Source organism: Homo sapiens, chromosome 2 (assembly GCF_000001405.40).
Source record: "Homo sapiens chromosome 2, GRCh38.p14 Primary Assembly".
Taxonomy (NCBI): Eukaryota; Metazoa; Chordata; class Mammalia; order Primates; family Hominidae; genus Homo; species Homo sapiens.
Window position 1 is genome coordinate 51,040,998 of NC_000002.12, and position 22,921 is coordinate 51,063,918.

Here is a 22,921-nt window from a genome sequence, read left to right on the forward strand (position 1 = left end):
AGATGACCAATTATGTTAGGTACCTAATTCATGTATTTATAGGCCGTTAGGATATCCTCTTTTAAAAAGGGTCTATTCAAGTCTTTTGCCCATTTTTAAATAATTTGATTACTTGTCTTTTAAAATCAATTGTAGGGACTCTTTACATTTTCCGGGTATGATTGCTTGTGCAGTTATATGTATTAAAATATTTCCCCCATCTGTAATTAACCTTTGTTCCTTCTTCATTTTTTTGATAAACAGAAAACTTAAATGTTAATGTAATTCAATTTGTTAATATTTTCCTTTGTAGTTATTGTTTCATGTGTCCTGTTTAAGAAAATCTTCCTATCTTGATATATATTCTCCTGTGTTACATTGCAAAAAGTTTTTAATTTTAATCCTTCTCACTTAGATTAATATTTCCTCAGGGAGTATTTTTTACCCATAGGAATATCCAATTAATACAGAATTATATATTGAAAAGGCTATAGTGTATTCATTATTCTACAGTGTCAACTTTATCAAAATCTATTTGATAGATTTTATATTTTATATCATTATTCATTTATATTTTTGTCTCAATGAGCTTTTATAATGAATCATAATATTTTGTAGCTTTTAATAATTCAGCATTATGCACGTTTATTATACTTCATATATATATACTTTATTAGATTAAGTAAATTCCTTTCTAATCCCAATCTGCTAATATTGGTGAAATCCTTCAAATACTGTTTCAACATTTATTGAAATAATCATATAATTTGTCTTATTTCTTTGGTTAATGTGATGAATTACACTGGTTATTTTTGAAATTTTGACCATTCTTAAATTCCTGGCATATGCATTTCTTGTTCATCATATATTACTCTTTTATTAATTTTCTTTGGTAATATTGTATATAGGATTTCTGCCAAAATCCAGAAAGAAAGTAGCCTACAATTTGGGAGCAGGTTTACACTATCTTTATAAAACAAGATGGAAAGTATTGTGGGTTTCTTTTCTATTCTGTGGAAGAGTTTACGTAATAACGTTATTGTTTTTCTCATCACATTCTTAGTAGAATATTCACTAGTGAGATCACATAAGCTAAGATTTTATTTTTTCCTATTCATAGAAGATTTCTACAGATGCTCCATTTCCTCTGGTATTAAGTAATTTTTTTATTCTCTCTTTTTACCTTTATTAATGTTACTAGGGAGTTATTAATTTTAATTATGTTTCCTAAGAATCAATGATTGTTTACTTTTTTTTCTTTCTTTTTTTTTTTTTTTTTTTTGAGACGGAGTCTCCCTCTGTCGCCCAGGCTGGAGTGCAGTGGCACGATCTCGGCTCACTGCAAGCTCCGCCTCCCGGGTTCACGCCATTCTCCTGCCTCAGCCTCCCGAGTAGCTGGGACTACAGGCGCCCGCTACCACGCCCGGCTAATTTTTTGTATTTTTAGTAGAGACGGGGTTTCACCGTGTTAGCCAGGATGGTCTCGATCTCCTGACCTCGTGATCCGCCCGCCTCGGCCTCCCAAAGTGCTGGGATTACAGGCGTGAGCCACCGCGCCCGGCCAACACTTTACATTTTAAGGAGCAAATGTTTTATGTCTGCCAGATCAAGTTTATTTACCATATACTTTATATATTCTAAATACTTCACATTCTGTAAAAGTTTCTTTACATATTTTGTTATAAATACATAACCTTCATGTATTTTTTCTTTATATATTTGTTTAATTTGTTTAATGAAAAATTAGATGGTTATATATTCCTGGTAGATGAATGTTTTAAACATTCTGTTGTATTCCTTTTCATCTGTAGTGATACAGCTTGCCTTAAAGTTAATTTTATCAGATATTAATATTGCTAACCCAGATATATTTTGGTCAGTTTCCATAAGGTATATCTTTTTTATGTTTTGCCTTAATCTTTCTGTATGTTTTAATTTATTATACTTCTTTTATAAATTGCATTTGGTTGACTTTTTAAATTCCATATGAAAGTCTTTGTCTTTTACTTGGAGTTCTTTGTCTATTTACATTTAAAGTCATTACTGATACATTTGAGTATGTATGTAGCATCTTACTATTTATGTTCTTATCATCTCCTTTCTTTTATTACATTTGTTACTTAATATTTTCTCCTGTAGGAGCATTTAGTGGTTTCCTAGGAGTATAGGATGAGTGATCAATTTATCAGAGTCAAACATAAATTAATACTTCCAGGACAATGCAAGAACTTTTAAATTTTTAAAATTCTTTTGCCCTTTTCTGATTTTTGTGCTATTGTTGTTTTTATTATATTTCTACATTATAATCCATAGCTCACTACAATGATTACTTCATAGGTCAATATTTATTTATAGTTATTCATATATATATCTTTTCCTTTGCTCTTCATTCCTTCTTTTACTTACTTGCTTTCATTGAACTTATTTTTTTTTTGTATGAAAAATTCCCTTTGTTATTTCATTTAGTTTGTGTACCTGTGGAGTGTATTTTACAAAACACTCATTTTGGCATTCATTTTGAAAAGAAAACTATACTGGATAGAATATTCTAGTTTGGACATTATTTCTTTAAGCATTTAAAAAATATCCCAATATTTTCTGGCTTCCACTTAGTATGTTGAAATGTCAGCTCTGCAGTTTTATCATTGCTCCTTTAAGCTAATGTGTCTTTCCAAGGCCTTTTCCCAGGTCCTCCTCTCCCAGCCCCATGGTGGTTTTTAAGACCATAATTTTAGGCGTTTTTACTGTGAGCATTTAAGTGATGGTTTTCTTTGTGTTTTTCCTGCTTATGGTCTTTCTAAATATTTAAGCTTATATTTTTCTTTGGTTTTGGAAAATTCATAGCCAGTATCTAGTTTTATATTGCTTGATCCCAACTAATTATCTCCTCTTTTTGTTTGGACTACAATTGCATGTACGCTGGATAACTTCACCACGTTCTATATGTCTCAAGTACACATGCTTTTTCTTCTTCTTTTCTATATTTTTTTTTTCTTTTTTTGCTTCAGTCTTGATATTTTCTATTAACCATTTATCTAACTTACTAATTTTCTGTTCTATTGATTCTAACCTAGTCAATTTATTCAGTTATTTAAACCAGTGGTTGTATTTTTTCCAGTTATAGGATTTCTATTTGATTACTTTTAATGATTCCGGTCCCATTATTTGATAATATTTTTCCTCATATTATCTATTTTTTAAACATGTTAATTATAATTATTTGGTATTTTATATCTGATAACTGCAATGTCTGAATGACTTATTTTATTTTTGCCTCCTTTTTTAAAACTTTCCTTTTCTCAATCATTTGGTTTCATGTGTCAAATACCTGGTAATCTTTGATTGAATGCCACCTTCATTTTGTTTTGAGTTCTCGACCTTTAACCTAACTTAAATGTCATGAGCATAACAGCATTGCAGACTGTCAGGCTAATCACAATATACTGTAGATATCTTTGCCTAGCAACTCTTGGTTGTCTGAGTTGCTCTCGGAGCAACCAAACTAAAATATTTTAAGATTTTTCTAAGACTTTAAGATTATTTAAGATTAGAGGCTGGCACAGTTTTTTTTTTTCAAGATTAATCTAGTTCTTGATCAGAGAATTGGTCTACATAAGCCATTCTATCTTCACTAGAAATAGAGATTCAAATACTATCTATTATCTGTGTTATTAAAGAAAGTTCGTGGCATGTCAGGGGATGGATTTGGAAATGACTTTTGGAAGACATTAAGGCCTGTGAAGGCCTTGCTCTATATTCTACCTTCTGTAACTACTAAATAAAGAGCACAACCTATAAAGTCCTTTCATTCTGACAGAAGTTAGAATGTTTTCCTCATGGCATAGGTAGCTTTGTGCAGATTTTCTTCCAATAGCAAATTAATCTATGTGCAAACAGTTGTGCTTTTTATTTCTTTTGTAAATTTTCAATCATTTTTAAAATGTGCAAATCAGGCATTGCTGCCCAATGTGTAAATTATTAATGTGTACCTAGGTTAAGGTACATAGAACTATTTCCTCTAAACTATAAACTGTGAATACATTTGACTTCAATATAAAAACAGTTCAGTTATGACACTATCATGTTTATAAGCACTGACTTTTGTTTTAAAACCATCCATCATCAATTGAGTAAGAGTGAGCATGCCTTTTCCTGCTTTCCATTGCTGTGCTCCCCAGAGTAATCCAGGGGATTCTCACCATAAAAACTGAAATTATTCTGTAAATACTATCTGCAGGATAGATGGATTCTAGAATAATCATGTCCCGAGTTGTGGACACGATATTGTGAAATGTTCTAGTTGCTGGTGATTTCTTTTAAGGCAACTGGGGAAAAACTGTTTGCTTCTTGAGGAAAGTCACTATGTGTAGCTTGTTTGCTTGTTTCCTCAGAATCTCACACTGTGCCTACCATGTGGTAAGTATGCACTCAATAGTTGTTTAACGAATGTACAAAAAGCAGAATTTCTAGATAATGCTTAAAATGTAGACTAATAGTTATTAAAGTTTTGGCCAAATGTGAGTAAAAATAATATGTAAATCAGAGTCCATTGTTTCTTATTAAATTACCAAAAAGACATGAGGCAAAAGTAAGAATCTCATATCCTCAAATAATACAGGATTTCTAGAACTTTGTTATTTCTTTTGCTGAAATGAGCTGTATTTGTTGATATAAGATGTCTACTTTTAGAAATTAGGATGAGTTTGTTTAGTATTTCTAATGTTTTATATTTCATAGAAATTCATGATGGAACCAGTAAAACTATTGAGAACTTTCTGTAATACTTTTACTTTTTGAGAAAGCATTTGAAATAATAGAATTATGAAGCTTGAAATTACCTAAAGTAGACATTCTGTGCATTTTTCCTGCACTGCGTAGGACAATACCATAAATACTTAATATAGAAGTATCAATTTTAATTTTTAATGTTTCTGAAAAGGGGAGATCCATTATTATATAAAATTAATGCAATCCAGGGCATTATAATCCTTATAAAGCAAAAAATTTTTGCTTAGGTTTCAACCCAAAAATCTTTCTGCTGGCATTAAGATATTAATATTTTTGATAGTAAGAACTATTATAGTATTTTATATGTTTTGAAAGTCAAAACAATCTGATAATAGAAAAATCAAACAACACATATTTTACAGGATATTAAAAGCACCCAGATCAGATTTCTAGACGTAATCGCTATCAATGTGATGATGAGCATCTTCATTGCTAATTATACTCACCCACTCATTTTTTGTTATTTAAATTATTAAGCTAAACTATGAGGAGCCTTTTCCTTAGCAACATGGTTAATTTTACTCAATTGTCAGTCATTGTAAAACATGGTTCTGGCATTCAGATAGTTTCAAAGTGATTATAGCCATTTTTATTTGTCAACAAGCATTTCAGATGTGTTTGTAAGTAAGTGTAAATCTCTAGAAAAATATCTATTATGATTTATTTTTGTCACTAGCCATTTTATAAGAATATATGTAAGCTGCACTTAATTGGGGATGTGAATTAATATTGATTGAGCCTTCAAGTAAAAAGCTGATGAGGTGTTATTCCTTAAAATAATCAAAAGTATCTTTGTGAATATTATATTATTATGTATGTGTAAAGGCTATTCTCTCACCTACCCAAATTATCAGTTTATTAACCTAGGCCGCATAAGCAACAAGACCATTCACAAGTATACCCAGAAATAAAGATGAGTTAGTCAATATGACACTCATCATGGCATCTCAACTTTGATTGCATACTTTTATCACATGGGGACATTTAAAATACCTATCTTTCTCTCCTGATACTGTGATTAATTTTTTGAAGTATTTATTTAAATTGACACATTGTACATATTTATGGGGTATAATTTAATATTTGGATACATATCTATGTTGTATAATGATCCAATCAGTGGAGTGAATATATCTATCACCTCATGAATTTATCATCGCTTCATGGTGAGAACCTTCGAAAACTTCTCTTCTAGCCACTTTGTAATATAAAATATTTTACCCTTAACCAATGTCACCTTGCTGTATAATAGAATACCAGAATTTATTCATCCTATTTAATCGTCACTTGGTGCCCATTGACCAACCTCTCCCCATTCTCTTCTCCCCCTTCCCCTTCCCAGTCTTTAATAAGTGTTATTCTACTCTGTGCTTCTATAATATTGACTTTTTTAAAAATTGACACAGTTTTGCTCTGTTGCTCAGGCTAGAGTGCAGTGGCACCATCTCACTGCAACCTCAGCCTCATGGGTTCAAGTGATTCTCATGCCTCAGCCACCTGAGTGGCTGGGATTACAGGTGCGCAACACCACACCCAGCTAATTTTTTGTATTTTTAGTAGAGATGGAGTTTCGCCATATTGGCCAGGCAGGTTTCAAACTCCTGGTCTAAAATGATCTGCCTACCTCAGCCTCCCAAAATACCGGGATTATAGGTGTGAGCCACCATGACTGGCCAGTACTGAACTTTGTAAAAAAAATTCCAAATATATGTGAGATCATGCAATATTTGTCTTTCTGGCTCTGGCTTATTTCATTTAACATGATATCCTCCGGGCTCATCCATGTTGTTGCAAATGACAGAATTTCATTCTTTTTTTGTAACTGCATAGTATTCCATTGTATATACATACCATGTATTCTTTATCCATTTATTTGTTGTTGGACACTTTTAGGTTGATTTCATTTTTGGCTATTGTAAATAGTGCTGTAATAAACATGAAAGTGCATATATTTCTTTGACGTGCTGATTTCATTTCATCTGGACATATACCCTACAGTTAGGTTGCTGGATTATATAATAGCATCATTTTTAGTTTTTTGAGAAATTTCCATACTTTTTTTCTACCATTGCTTTACTAGTTTACAATCCCCAAAACAATGTATAAGTGTTTCCTTTTCTTTACATCCGTTCCAACACTTCTTTTCTTTTGTCTTTTTGATAATAACCATTCTAACAGGAATCAGGTGTTATTGTGGTTTTGGTTTGCACTTCCCTGTTGATTAGTTACATTGAGCATTTTAAAATATACCTATTGGCCATTTCTATATGTCCTTTTGAGAAATGTCTATTCAGGTGTTTTGCCCATTTTTAAATTGGGTTTATATCTTTTTTTTGTTTGTTTTGTTGAGGTGTTTAACTCATTTATATATTGTGGATATCAAGCCCTTGGCAGATGTATAATTTGCAGCTGTTTTCTCCTATTCTGTAGACCAGGCTTTTCCAACTCACAGCTCACAGGCTGCATGTGGCCCAGGACAGCTTTGAATGCAGCCCAACACAAATTTGTAAACTTTCTTAAAACATTATGGCCGGGCGTGGTGGCTCACGCCTGTAATCCCAGCACTTTGGGAGGCCGAGACGGGCGGATCACGAGGTCAGGAGATCGAGACCATCCTGGCTAACGCGGTGAAACCCCGTCTCTACTAAAAATACAAAAATTAGCCGGGTATGGTGGCGCGCGCCTGTAGTCCCAGCTACACGGGAGGCTGAGGCGGGAGAATGGCGTGAACCCGGGAGGTGGAGCTTGCAGTGAGTCGAGATCGCGCCACTGCACTCCAGCCTGGGCGACAGAGCGAAACTCCGTCTCAAAAAAAAAAAAAAAAAAATTTATAAGATTTATGCAAAGACTTTTTTTAAGCTCATTAGCTATCATTAGTGTTAGTGTATTTTATGTGTGGCCCAAGACAATTCTTCTTCCAGGGTAGCTCAAGGAAGACAAAAGATTGGACACCTCTGCTGTAGACTTTCTTTTCACTTATCTAATTGTTTCCTTTGCTGTGCAAAAAGCTTTTAGTTTGATGCAATTTCATTTATTTATTTGCTTTCTTCTCTGTGCTTTTGAGGTCTTATTTTAAAAATTCTTGCCCAGCCCAATGTGAAGAATTTTTCCTATGTTTTCTTCTAGTAGTTTAATAGTTATGGGTTTTACACTTAAGTCTTGTCTTTAATCCATTTTGAGTCAATTTTTCTATATGATGAGAAGTATGGGCTTAGTTTTATTCTTCTGCATGTGGATATCTGGTTCTCCCAGCACCCTTTAAGAGACTTTCTTTCCCCCAACATGTGTTCTTGACACCTTTGTTGAAGAAAATCAGTTGACTGTACTTGTTTGAATTTATTTCTGGACACTCTATTCGGTTTTATTAGTCTATGTATGTGTTTCTGTTCCAGTACCATGTTGTTTTGGTTACTACAGCTTTGTAGCATATTTTTGAGTCAGGTAATATGATGCCTCTAGCTTTGTTCTTTGTGCTCAGGATTCAGTTGGCTGTTCTTAGTATTTTGTGGTTCCATATGAATGTTAGAATTGTTTTTTCTATTTCTGTGAAGAATGTCATTGATATTTTGATAGAGATTGCATTAGGTCCGTAGATCACTTTGGGTAAGATGGCCATTTTAACAATGTTAATTCTTCCAGTCCATGAACATGAGACATTTTTCCATTTATTTGTGATCTCCTCCGTTTCTTTCATCAAAGTTTTAGAGTGTTTAGTGTAGAGGTAAATCTTTCACTTTCTTGATTAAGTTTATTCCTAAGTATCTTATTTTTTATAGCTTTTTAATTTATTGTTCAGGTAGTTCACTGTTGGCATGTAAAAATGCTACTGATTTTCAGATGTTGATTTTGTATCCTGCAAGTGTAATAAATTTGTTTATTAGTTATAACAATTTTATGGTGGAGTCTATAGGATTTTCTATATATGATTATGTCATCTGCAAACAGGGACAATTTGACTCCCTCCTTTCCAATTTGGATGTCTTTTATTTCTGTCTCTAGTCTAATTGTTGTGGCTAGGACTTCGATTCCATGTTAAGTATAAGTGGTTAAAGTGAGTATCATTTTCTTTTCCTTGATCTTAGAGAAACAGCTTTCAGCTTTTATCCATTCAGTCGGATGTTAGCAGTGTGTTTGTCAGATATGGCTTTTATTGTGCTGAGTTACATATCCTCTCTATCTAATTTATTGAGAATTTTTATTATGACAAGGTGTTGAATTTTACCACATTCTTTTTCTATATCTATTGAAAGGATCATATGTTTTTCTTTCTTTCTGTTAATGTTGTATATTACACTTATTGATTTGCATGCGTTAAACCATCCTTGATCTCACTTGATAATAGTGAATGATCTTTTTAATGTGTTAGTGCATTCAGTTTGCTAGTATGTTGTTGAGAATTTTTGTATCTATGTTTATCAGAGATATTGGCATGTAGTTCTCTTTTTTTGTTTTATCTTTCTCCGGTTTTGTCATCAGGTTAATGATGACCTCCTACAATGTCTATGCACCTACTCTTGCTCTTTTTCCTTTGTACGTTTTTAAGATATTGTCACCAACATGTTGCTTTGTCATAAGTCCCTTTAACCAAACACTCTTTCCTTTAACTTCTGTCCAAAGGTTAACTTTGAGTGTATGTTTCAGCTTTCTCACCGTTTTTTAGTCTGCAAATCTATGCCATGTTTAAACAATTCTCAAAAGAGCCCTGCCATAGGGAGGTTTTAAGCAAGCTGTTTTCATCTAATAAAGACAATTGTGGCTGGCTGAGGTGGCTCATGTCTGTAATCCCAGCAGTTTGGGAGGCCAAGGTAAGCAGATCACTTGAGCCCAGGAGTTCAAGACCAGCCTAGGCAACATGGTAAAACCCTGTCTCTACTAAAAATGCAATTATTAGCTGGCTATGGTGGTACAAGCTTGTAGTCCCACCTACTTGGGAGGCTGAGGGGGAAGATCGCTTGAGCCTGGAAGGCAAAGGTTGCAGTGATCTGAGATTATACCACTCCACTCCAGCCTGAGTGACAAAGCGAGATCTTGTCTAAAAAAAAAAAAAAAAAAAAAAAAAAAAAAGGTGAAATACACAGTATGACAAAATCTGCTTCTATGAGTATATGTCACAAAAATTACTTAGTAGGCAATCAAGTACTTGGCTTTAGTTTCTTCTTGGTTATACTTGGTTATAGGACTTCAAAAGCATTTTCTTTAGAAAAATTCTCCCATTCAACATATAAAAATAACAATAAAATAGAATCTTTGAAGACATTATTAGTTGTTGATGAGAACTATTATTTTATGAAGTCAATATTTTACTTAACATTAAAACCTGGATACAGTTTATTATGATTTTTTTTCTTTCTACACACTTCCTCACCTTCTTTATTTCTTGTTACATTCATTAGTTAAATTGAAAAAAATAATGATTAACCAAACTAAGCATCAAGTATACTTGAGGGCACTCCCACTTCAATCTCAGGCTAGGGAAACATAAGTTCAGTTGGCTGCTTCACATAACAAATTTAATTAAATATTTGGAGCATGGTTTAAGTAGAAACATATTTATCCAGGAGATGCTATTGAAGGGCCACAACCTATTATGCTTAGATGTTAACCATGATTTTAAACAACTGTAGCCATTCTATACTGCACAGTTCATAGGTGCAGGGCTAGAACTAGGGTGAGGCTGGGGAGGCATATGCCTTTGGTGCAAAAGTTAAGGGGTTACTAAAAAACTCAAGAATTAAGATAATATTTTAATGTACTAGGAAAAAATAAAATGCGAAAATATCCATGACGAACAAAAAAGATAACATTTTCAATAAAAACAATGTAACATTTAATTTGTTTAAAGTCCAGTGTTGCTTATTAGTTAATTTACTTCAGACTTTAACATGACTTGGCAGAGCATTTTATCCTGCCATTACTTTATATTTCATTTTTTAAATCCTCATTCTTATTATTTACTTATTTATTATTTTAGTGACAGGTTCTCACTTTATCACACAGGCTGGAGTACAATGGCATAATCATGGCTCACTGTAGCTTCAACTTCCTGGGCTCAAACAATCCTCTTGCCCTGTCCTCTTGTGTAGCTAGAACTACAGATTCATGCCACTAGGTCCAGGTAATTTGTATTTTTCAAAAACTTTTTGTAGAGAGTGGGATCTCACTGTGTTGCCCAGGGTCAAGTGATATTCCCACCTGGGCCTCCCAAAGTGCTAGGATTACAGTTATGAGTCACTGTACCTGGCCGGCGCCTCCTAATTTTTGCACTCAAGGTAAGTGTCTTACCCATCTTCCACTAGTCCTGGCCCTGCATTAAAGGCTTTCTTTGTCACTATAGCAAAAAGTAAGCATTTCAGGTTATACAGTGAAAGTTCAAACCAGATACTCTTTTTTTCACCTCTCTGTTAAGAAGAGGATTTGACAATGTGTAGTAGATCATCAACTCTAAAACTGGAAATTATTACTTATGGATAACCATAATCCTTTCCACCACCCCCACACGACCACCCACACCCACCACATTCTTATTTAATATCTGTAAGAGAGGATCTCAGAGTCTGTATTTTATAATAAATGCAAAATTGTTCTGTTGCAGGTTGTTCTGGAATCATAGTTGAAGAAACAGTTGGCTAGACTCTAACAGCTGTTCACAATTTCTCGTATCTCTCCTGATGGAGGACAGTGTTTTTAAAGGTAACTATTTGATAAAATATAATAAAATGGCCAGAGATTGTGCATCTTTGCATTCAAAACTATTCCAAAAGTAAACAATAAAAAAGCTTTGGCATTTTTAATGACTCTTTAGCTTTTCATGGGACTTTCACAGCTATGTGGCTTTAAATTGCAGTTTGGAAATTGAATATGATAATAATTGGTGAATACTCCACTTAATTTATCTGTATTTTATTTCTAGTTACCTTGTGGGAAATTAACTATTTCACCTTTTTAGCCATTTTTAAAAAGTATTACTTGAATTAAGAATATATTGCTTGAAATTATATAATGTAGGTGTATATGCTCCTAAATATAGCTACAAATTATTATAATGAGAGTGCTAATATTTTCTTAAAATTTCATAATGGATAAATGTAGGTTTTTAAATTTCTACCTCTTTTCATATTGTGTCAGCTTCTCAGTGTTTATGATAATCATCCTACAGGAACTATATACATTGAAATCACCTGGGGTGTTCACAGAACTACAGATTACTGAGCCTATTCCAATACCTATTGGTTTGGAATTTTCTAAAGGTAGAGCCCAAGAATTTGTGGTTTTAACCAGTATCCCTATGAAATTCTGCTAAACCTTGAGTACCGTTGGGGGTTAATCCTTCTGTTTGTGTTTGGTGTATATATATAGTCCATATGTTTTCAGTTTAATAATTTGGTGGGACCATTCAGTCTCCCAAGGATCTCTGTCCATTTCACACTTGACCTCCAAGTGCAGAGGAATATATAACCGCTCTTCTCTATTTCATAAATAGCAAAATAATAGAATAAGCATGATTAATAACAAGTCATTACTGTGTAAAAATTGTAATTTGAGTTTTCCTCTGATGCTTTTTCTGAATTTGTGGCTTATATTGTACTTTACAGCCATAGTACACCATATCAGCATGAGAGCTGTCACATAGAGCCAGAACAATAATCTGTCTGTCTCAGTATGACAGCACTCTTTTCCTGGGAACGAACCTAACAGAAGATACAGGAAGGACATGCTCTTAATTCTTAGAATATTAGCATCAGTTACTTGCTGTTAGATTTTCTTCCTAAATCTAACAGGATTTAAATTTTGCCAGTCTTCTCCAATACAAGTTTTATAGGCACACTGTCATCCATCATGTATTTATTTATATGCTCTGTGTCATCTCTCGTTACCTCCCTATCTCTCTCTCTCTCTATGTATTCATCTGTCCATCTCCTTAATGATTTTCCTAAACTTTGACCATGCTTGCAATCTCTGTCTCTTCCAAATGGATGATTTCTGTTTTACTAATCTACTTCACATATAATTCAACACATTTAACATGCTAATGCCCAAACCTCACATGTGTAATTATCAAATCAGGGTTATTAGGGTGTCCATTATCTCAAACATTTACCATTTTTTAATGTTGGAGATGTTCAAAATCTTCTCTTTTAACTTTTTGAATTGTATAAAATACTTTTTAATAGAAACCTTTGCACATTTTTATTTGCAGCCACATTATCTTTGCATTATTAAAACTCTTATCAGATTACTCCCTTGAAGAGGCTTAACAACATAAAAGCAATAAGAGGATAGCTCTGGCCTACAAGAGCCTTGTGGCCCAAAATAATGATGTTAATTAATGCCAGTCCTTTGTGAATACTGAGGAAATGTAAATGACAGCAAAAAGTAGTCACCATTTCCCCACTTCAGTCCTTAATTTACATACTGGTAGCAACCCCTTGACTATCTCACATCAGTAAGAGTTTCTTATTAAGAAAAATATATAGTTGTTCTTGAGGACACACTATCATAAGTCATTTATAAACAAGATATTTGATCATCAAACATGTAGATAATACAGTTAGCCTAACTTAAGAATATGGCCACATGGGTGATCTTGTGAAACAATTATTCATTCTTCTATCTATTTCAGGAATTTTAGTTACTGCTTAGGCATGAGACATGAACTTCTGAATCTTAGGAACTAGCACAAATTCTATTTTGTCATTAATTTCTGAATTTCATGGATATTTGGTGGCACTCTGAATAGGAGTGAGAGGGGAGCTCAGTGACTCAGAAATGTACACTAGCAACTGTCACTCTGAATTCTAGCCAGGCAGCTTAAATAATAACTTGGACTATCTACCCCCAAAATAAGACTTGTTATTTGTGTTTCAACTGCACTTTCAAAATATGTTTTCAAAATATGTTGAACCTGACTTTTCTACCTTTTAAAGACAAAAACTAGAATAGAAAACCTCCATGTTCCATCACCCAACTTTAAGGATTACTAATTCATATGCCATGTATCTTATTTGTTCTGAGCAGTTTCTGTGTTTGTAGTTTCCCAAACTCTGGGTTTGGCAAATTGCATCCCAAGGGGGAATATAACATGTTTCTCTCTTCCCTCCATCTCATATAAATTGGATATGAGATCTTGATTAGATTGAATTTAGGAGGTTTTGAGAATATTACGTTATAGGTAGCATTGTTCATTTTACTACAGAGACATATAATATCCACTTATCTTTCTTTTGGTAATGTTAGCAATTAATGATCATTGCCTATTACTGGACTAGAGTTTGTAAAATAGTGATGTTCTAATGCTTTTAATTCTTCTTAATGTATTAATTGAAATATTTGTATAAAGGGAAAGTTTTGCTTATCAAGTATTTGCTTCCCTTGAGTTACAGCTCATAGAGGGAAGGCTGGGCAAATGCCTTGACTGTTTTTCTTTATTTTCCTTTAGGTAAATAAAATAAAGAGTTGGTTTGTTTTCATCATCCAAATATCATCAGTGTTTTATTTTTTCTCGTTTGAATTTTGTGTTCAATATCTCTCTGAATCATGTATTTAAATATTTTAATTGACTTTGACTCATTGTTTTTGTTATGCTTATAGATGCTCAAATTTTCTCATCTTTGGTTATTTAGGTTATTTTTAGGTTGGTTCTCAATTGTTTCCTAACCACTCTGGTGTTATTTTGTTGGTGTTCTTATTCCACAAGTTTTTCACTGTTGCGCTTATGTTTTATTAGACAGTGATATGATGAACTAATATATCGTTCTAGGTGGTGAATCGTGATATTCTAATTCTGGAACATTCTAGAATGGTGACTTTTTAATTCTATCCTTCTTTCTTCATTTATTAAATACATTCCCCATCAACTCCTTGGATATCTTGATATATAGTTTTTTATTGGAGAGACAAGATAAATATTTTTTATATCTTGTTATTTGTTGATTTTTCAGAATATTAACTGGTTTTCTGGAAAAAGTTCCATAGATGACTATGCGAGATTGCATCATTGCCTGTAATTCTTCATCCTACCTGTGTCTCTACCCTTTGCAATGTTAATTTTTAGTTCATTTTAGTAGAAGGAAAGCGTTCTTCCCTTTCTTGACTTTGGGCTCAGTCTTGAGACTTACTTTGGCTAACAGGATGTTAGAGGCCATGGAATAATAAGGGGCTTGAAATTTGCTTGTGTGGTTGAGCTTTGTACTTGTACATGCACTCCTGTACTTCTGTCTTTATCATGAAGAGGAGCATGTCTCATCATTATGCTGCTTGACAAAGGAGGATAACAAAAATGTGGTCTGGATATCATTTGCTGACTAGAGTTAAGCACAGGGAAGCCCAAGCTAGAGTTTCCTTACCTCTAGAAAACCCACAGACACTTGAGCAAAAATTAATGATTTTTGCTTAAGCCAGTGTGTTTTGAAGTGGTTCATTTTAATGGATTATTTGTGATGGGTGATGGATACAGTGATCACTGGGGGTTTTGTATTATTATGAACTGATGGATCTTAAGAGGTTTGCTATATTTGAATCCATTTGTTTCATTATTAAAATATTATTCAGTGTCTTGCTTTCATGCAGTAGGAATCTCTTCAAATGGCCTCCTAAGTTCTTTTGTTCTAACTGTAAAAGTCTTTGATAATTTTATTGCTTTCTGGTGTAACCAGATCTTCCAGGCTCATTTGTACGTTCCTTGTCCCAGGCCTGGAGTCAGCTATTTCTCACAGAAGCCCTGTTTCCTTTTAGTTGGAAGTGTTACTAAAAGCTTACAATCTAGTTCTAGGGACTAGGGACGGGGCTAATGACACTATGTTGATCAGAATCTATGTGGATTTATTGAACAGACTGGCATTTTTTTAAACAGAAAATATGCCACCTTGAGTTTACACTGATATTTCTAATTAAAATATTAAAAATTATTATTAGAAGTTTTTAATTATACCTTATATATTATGGCTTTAGAACAATACTTCTATTACTACTAACATATGGTTGCTAAAAATACTTTGAGATTTATTTTTTAGAGTTTATTGTTTTATGCAAAACACTGAGAATATAAAGTTATATGACTACCTTTAGTGGTCATTTATAATAATTTTTCATTATCATGTTACATTGCTAGATTCATTATTTTCTCATTTTGCCATTGTTTCTTAGAAGCTGCTTTTACATTTTGTTTCTTCTTATAATTATGTGAAATATTTATACAGTTCTAAATAAAATGCATACAAGAAGGTATTTTCTGTAAAGTCTGGTTTCTATCCCTGATTCCTCCAACCTCTTCCTCCAGCTAATGTAATTTTTATTATTTTATTTTTTATATTTTGGATTATTCTTCATTTCCAAAAGTATATCCCTGCATATCTTCATGAAATATAATTTTTATTGATATGTTCACTTTTTTTAAATAAAGACACATACACCCTTTTCTCCATGATAGTTTTGTTTTTCACTTAACAATACGTTTTGGAGACCATTAATGATATGTAAATGTATTTCCCATTTCTTTAACAGCTGCATAGTATTCTATATGCAGATAAACCATAGTTTATTCAACAAGCCTTTAATTGATGATATTTGGGTTACTTCCAGTCTTACTGTTACAATAGTGCTGGAATAAATGGTCCTCTGCAGAGATTTTTTTGTACTTTTGCCAATTCATCTTTAGGATGTAATCATAGAAGTTGTTTTGCAGGTCCAAGGCAAATGCATGGATAATTTTGCTAAATATTGCTTTATTCCTTGTGTTAAGATTGTACTGGTTTTACATCGCTACCTGATATACTCACTGTTGAATCACAGTAGTAGAGTCGGGAGCTGAGAATGACACATTTGAATAAGAGAAAAGTTCGTGAAAATAAATGTAGTAATGCTTATGTGGCATCTGTTTAACATTATCAAGATTTAAATTTTGAAAACTGAGGCTGTTATACATTTTATAGTAAACATAGTATCTGATTTAAATTCACAAAGCCATGACACATTCCTTTCAATGGACTTGTCTAAAAAATGTGTTATGTTTTTTCCAGTGGCATTGCTATATTCTCTAGCAAAGAGTCAGTGACATTCTCAAGCTTCTTGAGTTACAAAAAAGCTTCTGTTCTCAAAATAAGTTAATGTTACTTGACAAGTATCATATACTTAAATTGAAAAGCTAAAATATAAACCTTCTAGAAGAAAACAAAGGAGAAAAATCTATCCAACCTTTGTCTAACACATATTTTTCAGGAAATGACACACTAAGCATATAAGAAAATTGATAAATTGACCTTTTTTAAAATAAACATATTCTGCTCTTTGGAAGACAACATCAAGAAAACAAAACTATTAGCCATAGGGAGAATCTATTCATAATATATTTATCCGAAAAGGATAAATACTTCTACTTAGAGTATATTGAACATGTTTACAACTTGATAAGAAGAAGACAAATAACCCAATTAAAACATGAGCAAAAAGGCTTGAATAGATCGTTCCCAAAAGAAGAAACATGTATGACCAGTAAGCAAAGGGAGATATGATTAATATCATTAATCATCAAGGAAATGACAATTTAAACAAAATGAGATACCAGAATATTTTCATTATAATGGCTACAATACCAAGTGTTGAAGACGATGTGGTGCAATTGGAATGTTCATACACTGCTGATGGAAGTGACAGTTGGTACAATCCCTTCAGAAAACTGTTGGAGCTTCTTAAATGGTTAAACATACACTTAGCATATGATTCATAATTGCATTTCTAGGCATTTACCCAAGAGAAATAAAAATATTTATTCACGGCCAGACACGGTGGCTCACACCTATAATCCCAGCATTTTGGGAGGCCGAGGTGGGTGGATCACGACGTCAGGAGATCGAGACCATCCTGGCTAACACGGTGAAACCCCCGTCTCTACTAAAAATACAAAAAATTAGCCAGGCGTGGTGGCAGGTGCCTGTAGTCCCAGCTACTCAGGAGGCTGAGGCAGGAGAATGGCGTGAACCTGGAAGGCAGAGCTTACAGTGAGCCGAGATCGCGCCACTGCACTCCAGCCTGGGTGACAGAGCTAGACTCCATCTCAAAAAATAAAAAAAAGAAAAAATAAATAAAAATATTTATTCACAAAATTAATATATGCAAATATATATTGTAGCTTTATTCATAACAATTCTAAACTGGAGAAAACCTAAGAATAAGAAGATGAATGGATAAATAAATTATATATTCACACAATGGAAAACTACGTAGTAATTTAAAGGCATGAACTAACACACACACAGTATGTTTGAATTCCAAATACATGTTGATAAACAAAAGAACATAGATATAAAAGAATAGGTACTGCATTTTATGAAATTGTAGAAAGATAATGTAATGTCTAGTGAGAGAAAGCAGAGAAATTGTTTGGGGCTAGGGTTGAGGGGATTGTGAGGACATTTTAAAAGCATAGAAGTTTCTCTGTATCTTGATTGTAGTAAGTTTGCATGAATGTAGACATTTTAAGTATTTTCAAACATTGCACTTAAGATGAATGCAGTATGTTGTATATGTTGTATTTTGATAAAGTTGATTAAAACGTTTTAATGAAAATGTTCTTTTTTAATTTTGGAGTCCACACTGAAAACATAATTTTTGTGTCATTGAAAGATCAGAATAAAATAAAGGTTACTTGAGGGCAGTATCTACAATTTATTGATAGTAGATAATCAACTAGTGTTGAATGAAAAAATCAATGAATGCGTAAATAAATGGTTTGATTACATTTAACACTATGTAGTTGGAATTTTAAAAGGAGATACTGGAAAATATATTCTATGCAAACAGTGTACAAAATAAAAACTGGGTTACTTAAACTAACATCAGATAAATAGACTTGAAGTGAAAAACTCTTACAGAGAAAGACAGTAAATATTGATAAAATAATAAATTTATCAGGAAGATATAACAATAATAAGCACACACATTCGGCAACAGAGCTCCCATAACATATGAAGTAAATATTGACATATTTGAAGGAAGATATAATTCAACAATAATGGTTGGAGACTTCAGTTGCTCACTTTCAATAATGGATAGAAGATCTAGGTAAAAGATAACTAAGGAAATAGAGGATTTGAACAACACCTTAATCCAACTATGCCTAAACAGACGCATGTAGACTACTTCACCCAAAACCACAGAATACACAGTTTTTTCAAGTGTATATGAAATAGTCTGCATAATAAACTGTATGTTAAGCCACAAAATAAATCTGAATAAATTTTAAAAGGTTGTAATTATACAAAGTTTTTTCTCAAACAACAATAGAACAGAGCTAAAAATCAGTAACAAGAAAAATTTTAAAATACATGAATATGTGAAAATTAAACACACTTTTAAATGGTCAATGAGTCAGAATAAATCACATGAAAAACTGGAAAATACTTAGGAATGAAAATAAGAGTACAGCATAACAAAACACATAGGATGCAGCAAAGTCAGTGCTCAGAGGAAAATTTATAGCAGTAAAACTTTATGTTAAAAAAGAAGATAACTCTTAAATCTATAACGTTACACTTTAAAGACCTAGAAAAAGAAAAGCAAACTAGGCTCGAAGCAGAAGAAATGAAATAAAGATTCAAATAGAGGTAAATAAAATAGAGTAGTAAAAAATAATTGAATGAAACTAAAAGTTGTTTCTTTGAAGAAAAATCAACAAAATTGACAAATCTTTAGCTAGACTACAAAGAACAAAGACAGAAGATGCAAATAACTAAAATCAGAAATTAAAGTGAGACATTGCTATTGACCTTACAGAAGTAAGAAGGATTATTAGAAATGTTATGAACAATTATTTCAGTGAAACAGACCAATTCCCCGAAACACACAAATTACAAAAATTGACTCAAGAAGAAATAGAAAATCTGAACAAACCTATGCTGAGTAGAAACTAAATCAGTAATTAAAAAAAAAAAAAAAAAAAAACCCAACCAAAAACAAGGCCAGGACAAGATGGCTTCAATGGTGAATTTTTCCAAACATTTAAAGAAGAATTAACACCAATCCTTCTTAGTTCTTTAAAACAAAACAAAACAAATAATAAATAACAATAACAAACATAAAAGAGATTACTTGCTAACTCACTTAATGAGATCAGTAGTATCCTGTTATCAAGCCAGATAAAAACATCATAAGAAAAGATTATTACAGACCAATATCTCTTATAAATACAGACACAAAAGTATTCAATAAAATACTAGAAAACTGAATACATCAGCACAATAAAAAGATTAAACACCATGACCAAGTGAGATTTATCCAAGGAATACGAGAGTAGCTCAGCATAAGAGAATCAATGTTATATGCCACATTAATAGGACAAAAAAAGAAAAACCCATGATCATCCTAAGTGAGCATAAAAAAAGCATTTGATTAAATCAACAACTTTTTAAATAAAAGTACCAGAAAAAGTAGGAATTAAAGACAACTTTCTCAACAAAAAAAAGGACATTTAGGAATAATCCACAGCTAACATCATACTCAATAATGAATGACCAAAAGCATTTCTCTTATGATAATGGACAAAAACAGGATGCCTGCCTTTAACACTGCTATTCAACATTGCTGGAAGTTCTGGCCAGAGAAATTAGACACAGTGATACACACACACACACACACACACACACACACACACACACACACATATTTTATAGATAGATAGATGGTATCCAAGTCAGAAAGGGAGAAGTAAAACTATCCCTATTGTAGATGACACAGTCCCATAGGTGGAAAGTCCCCTCCAATTCAAAAGAGCTCCTAAGGCTAAAAAATGAATTCAGCAAAGTTGCGGGGTACAAGATTGATACTCAAAAATCAGTTGTTTTTCTATACACCAGCAGTGAACAATTTTAAAAAGAAATTAATAAACAATTCTACCTATAATAACATCCAGTTTTTAAAAAAATACTAGGATCCAAAAGAACAAAACACCTGGCAAAATATTTAACCAAGGAGATGAAAGACTTGTACACTGAAAACTATAAAACATTGCTGAAAGAAATTAAAGATCTAAATAAGTGGCTGGATACGGTGGCTCATACCTGTAATTCTAGCAGTTTGAGAGGTGGAGGCAGGTCCATCACTTGAGCTCAGGAGTTCAAGACCAGCCTGAGCAACATGGCAAAACCCCATCTCTACAAAAACATACAAAAAATTATCCAGGTGTGGTAGCATGAGCCTGTGGTTCCAGCTACATGCAAGGACTGAGATGAGAGGATCCGTTGAGCTGGAGAGGCAGAGACTGCAGTGAGCTGAGATTATGCTGCTGTTCTCCAGTCTGGACAACAGAGTGAGACCCTGTCTCAAAATGAATAAATAAATAAATAAGAAGGCATCCCATATCCATGGATTAGAAGACTTAGTATTTCTAAAATGTCAATATTACCCAAACCAATCTATAAATTTAATGCAAACCTACCAAAATTCCAAGGCTGTGTTTTGCACAGATGGAAAAGACAATTCTTAAATTCATCTGGAGTTGCAAGAGACCCTGAATAGTGAAAACAATCTTGAAAATAAAAAGATTAAAAGAATTACACTTCCTGATTTCAAAACTTACTAAAAACCTACTGTAATCAAAATATTGTGATACTAGCATAAAGACAGACATATAGACCAATGGATTAGAATTGAAAGTCTAGAAATCCATGTATTTATGCCTAATTAATTTTTTGTAAGAGTGTTAACACCATGCAATGAAGGACAGAACAGTGCCTTCAACAAATGGTACAAAAACAACTGGATATTAACATGCAAAGGAATGAAATAAAACCCCTACCTCACACCATATACAAAAATTAACTCAAAATGGATTAATGACCTAAATATAAGTGTTAAAATTGTAAAACTATTAGAAAAACAAATATTATTTTTCATGATCTTCAATCTGGTGATGGATGCTTAGATATGCCATGAAAAATATGAACAACAAAAGAAAAAAATTGTTAGATAGGGCTTCATCAAAATTAAAAACTCTTATGCATCAAATGATGTTATCAGGAACATGAAAAGAAAACCTAGAGAATGAAAGACAATGTTTTAAATCATGTATATGATAAGCGCCTATTATCCAGAATATATTTTTAAAATTCTTACAACTCTGAGTCAAAAGGACCAACCACCCCATTTTAAAAAGAAGAAAACCTTGAATAGCCATTTCTCTAGAAAAAATGGACAAACGACCAAGAAACTCATGAAAGATGCTCAACCTTATTAGGTATTATGAAAATGCAAATCCAAACCACAGTGAAATACCACTTCATGCTCAGTAGGATAGGTATAATAATTTTTTTTTAAAAAAAGGAAAATGATGACAGCTGTTGAGGGTGTGGAAAAATTGAAGTCTTTATATATTACCATGGGAATGCAAACTTACAGAGCCACTGTGGGAAACAATTTGGCAGTTCCCCAAAGATTTAAACATAGAATTACCATAAGCCACCACAATTCTACTTTAATTATATACCAAAAAGAATGAAAATCAAGTACCCAAACAAGAATATGTATACATAGGTTCATGGTAGCAGTATTCACAATAGCTAAAAGATAGGAACAATCCAAATATCCATCAATGAAGGAATGATTAAATAAATTGTGATATATACATAGAATGGAATATTAAATAATAATTATATAAATAAAATACTAATATTTGTGACAAAATGAATGAACCTCCAAACCATGATGCTAAGTATAAGAAGCCAGATACAATATATGACATATTATATTATTTCATTTATATAAAATATCCAAGTATCTCCATAGAGAGAGAATGCAGATTGGTGGTTGTCAAAGGGGTGGGATGGTTGTCAGGAGGGGGAGGTATGAATGAGGAGAAATTACTTGATGGGTAAGGAGTTTTATTTTAGAGTGATGGAAATGTTTTATAACTAGCTAGATTTCACAGCATTGTAAATATACTAAATGCCGTTGAATCATTCACTTTAAAATGGTTAATTTTATGTTATGCAAATTTCACCTCAATAAATTATTTAAAATTTGTTTATCCATGTATTCAATAGTTTCCAATTGATTTTCATATGCTTCTAAAAATATGTGGACAATTTGATGCCTGTAAACTTTTTAGCAGATGAATAAGAATGAAGGGTTCTGCTCCCTTGGTCACCTTTAATATTTTTATTATTAT

The 22,921-nt window shown here is 32.7% G+C and overlaps 1 long non-coding RNA gene across 1 annotated transcript in view; it reads left to right on the forward strand.

Moving 5' to 3' along the window:
• NRXN1-DT (NRXN1 divergent transcript) overlaps positions 1–22,921 on the forward strand; it is a 1,375,317-nt gene that overhangs the window by 8,397 nt on the left and 1,343,999 nt on the right. Inside the window, exon 2 of the long non-coding RNA NR_135237.1 lies at positions 11,360–11,457. This is a non-coding gene — a long non-coding RNA (NRXN1 divergent transcript). The remainder of the gene's footprint in view (positions 1–11,359; positions 11,458–22,921) is intronic.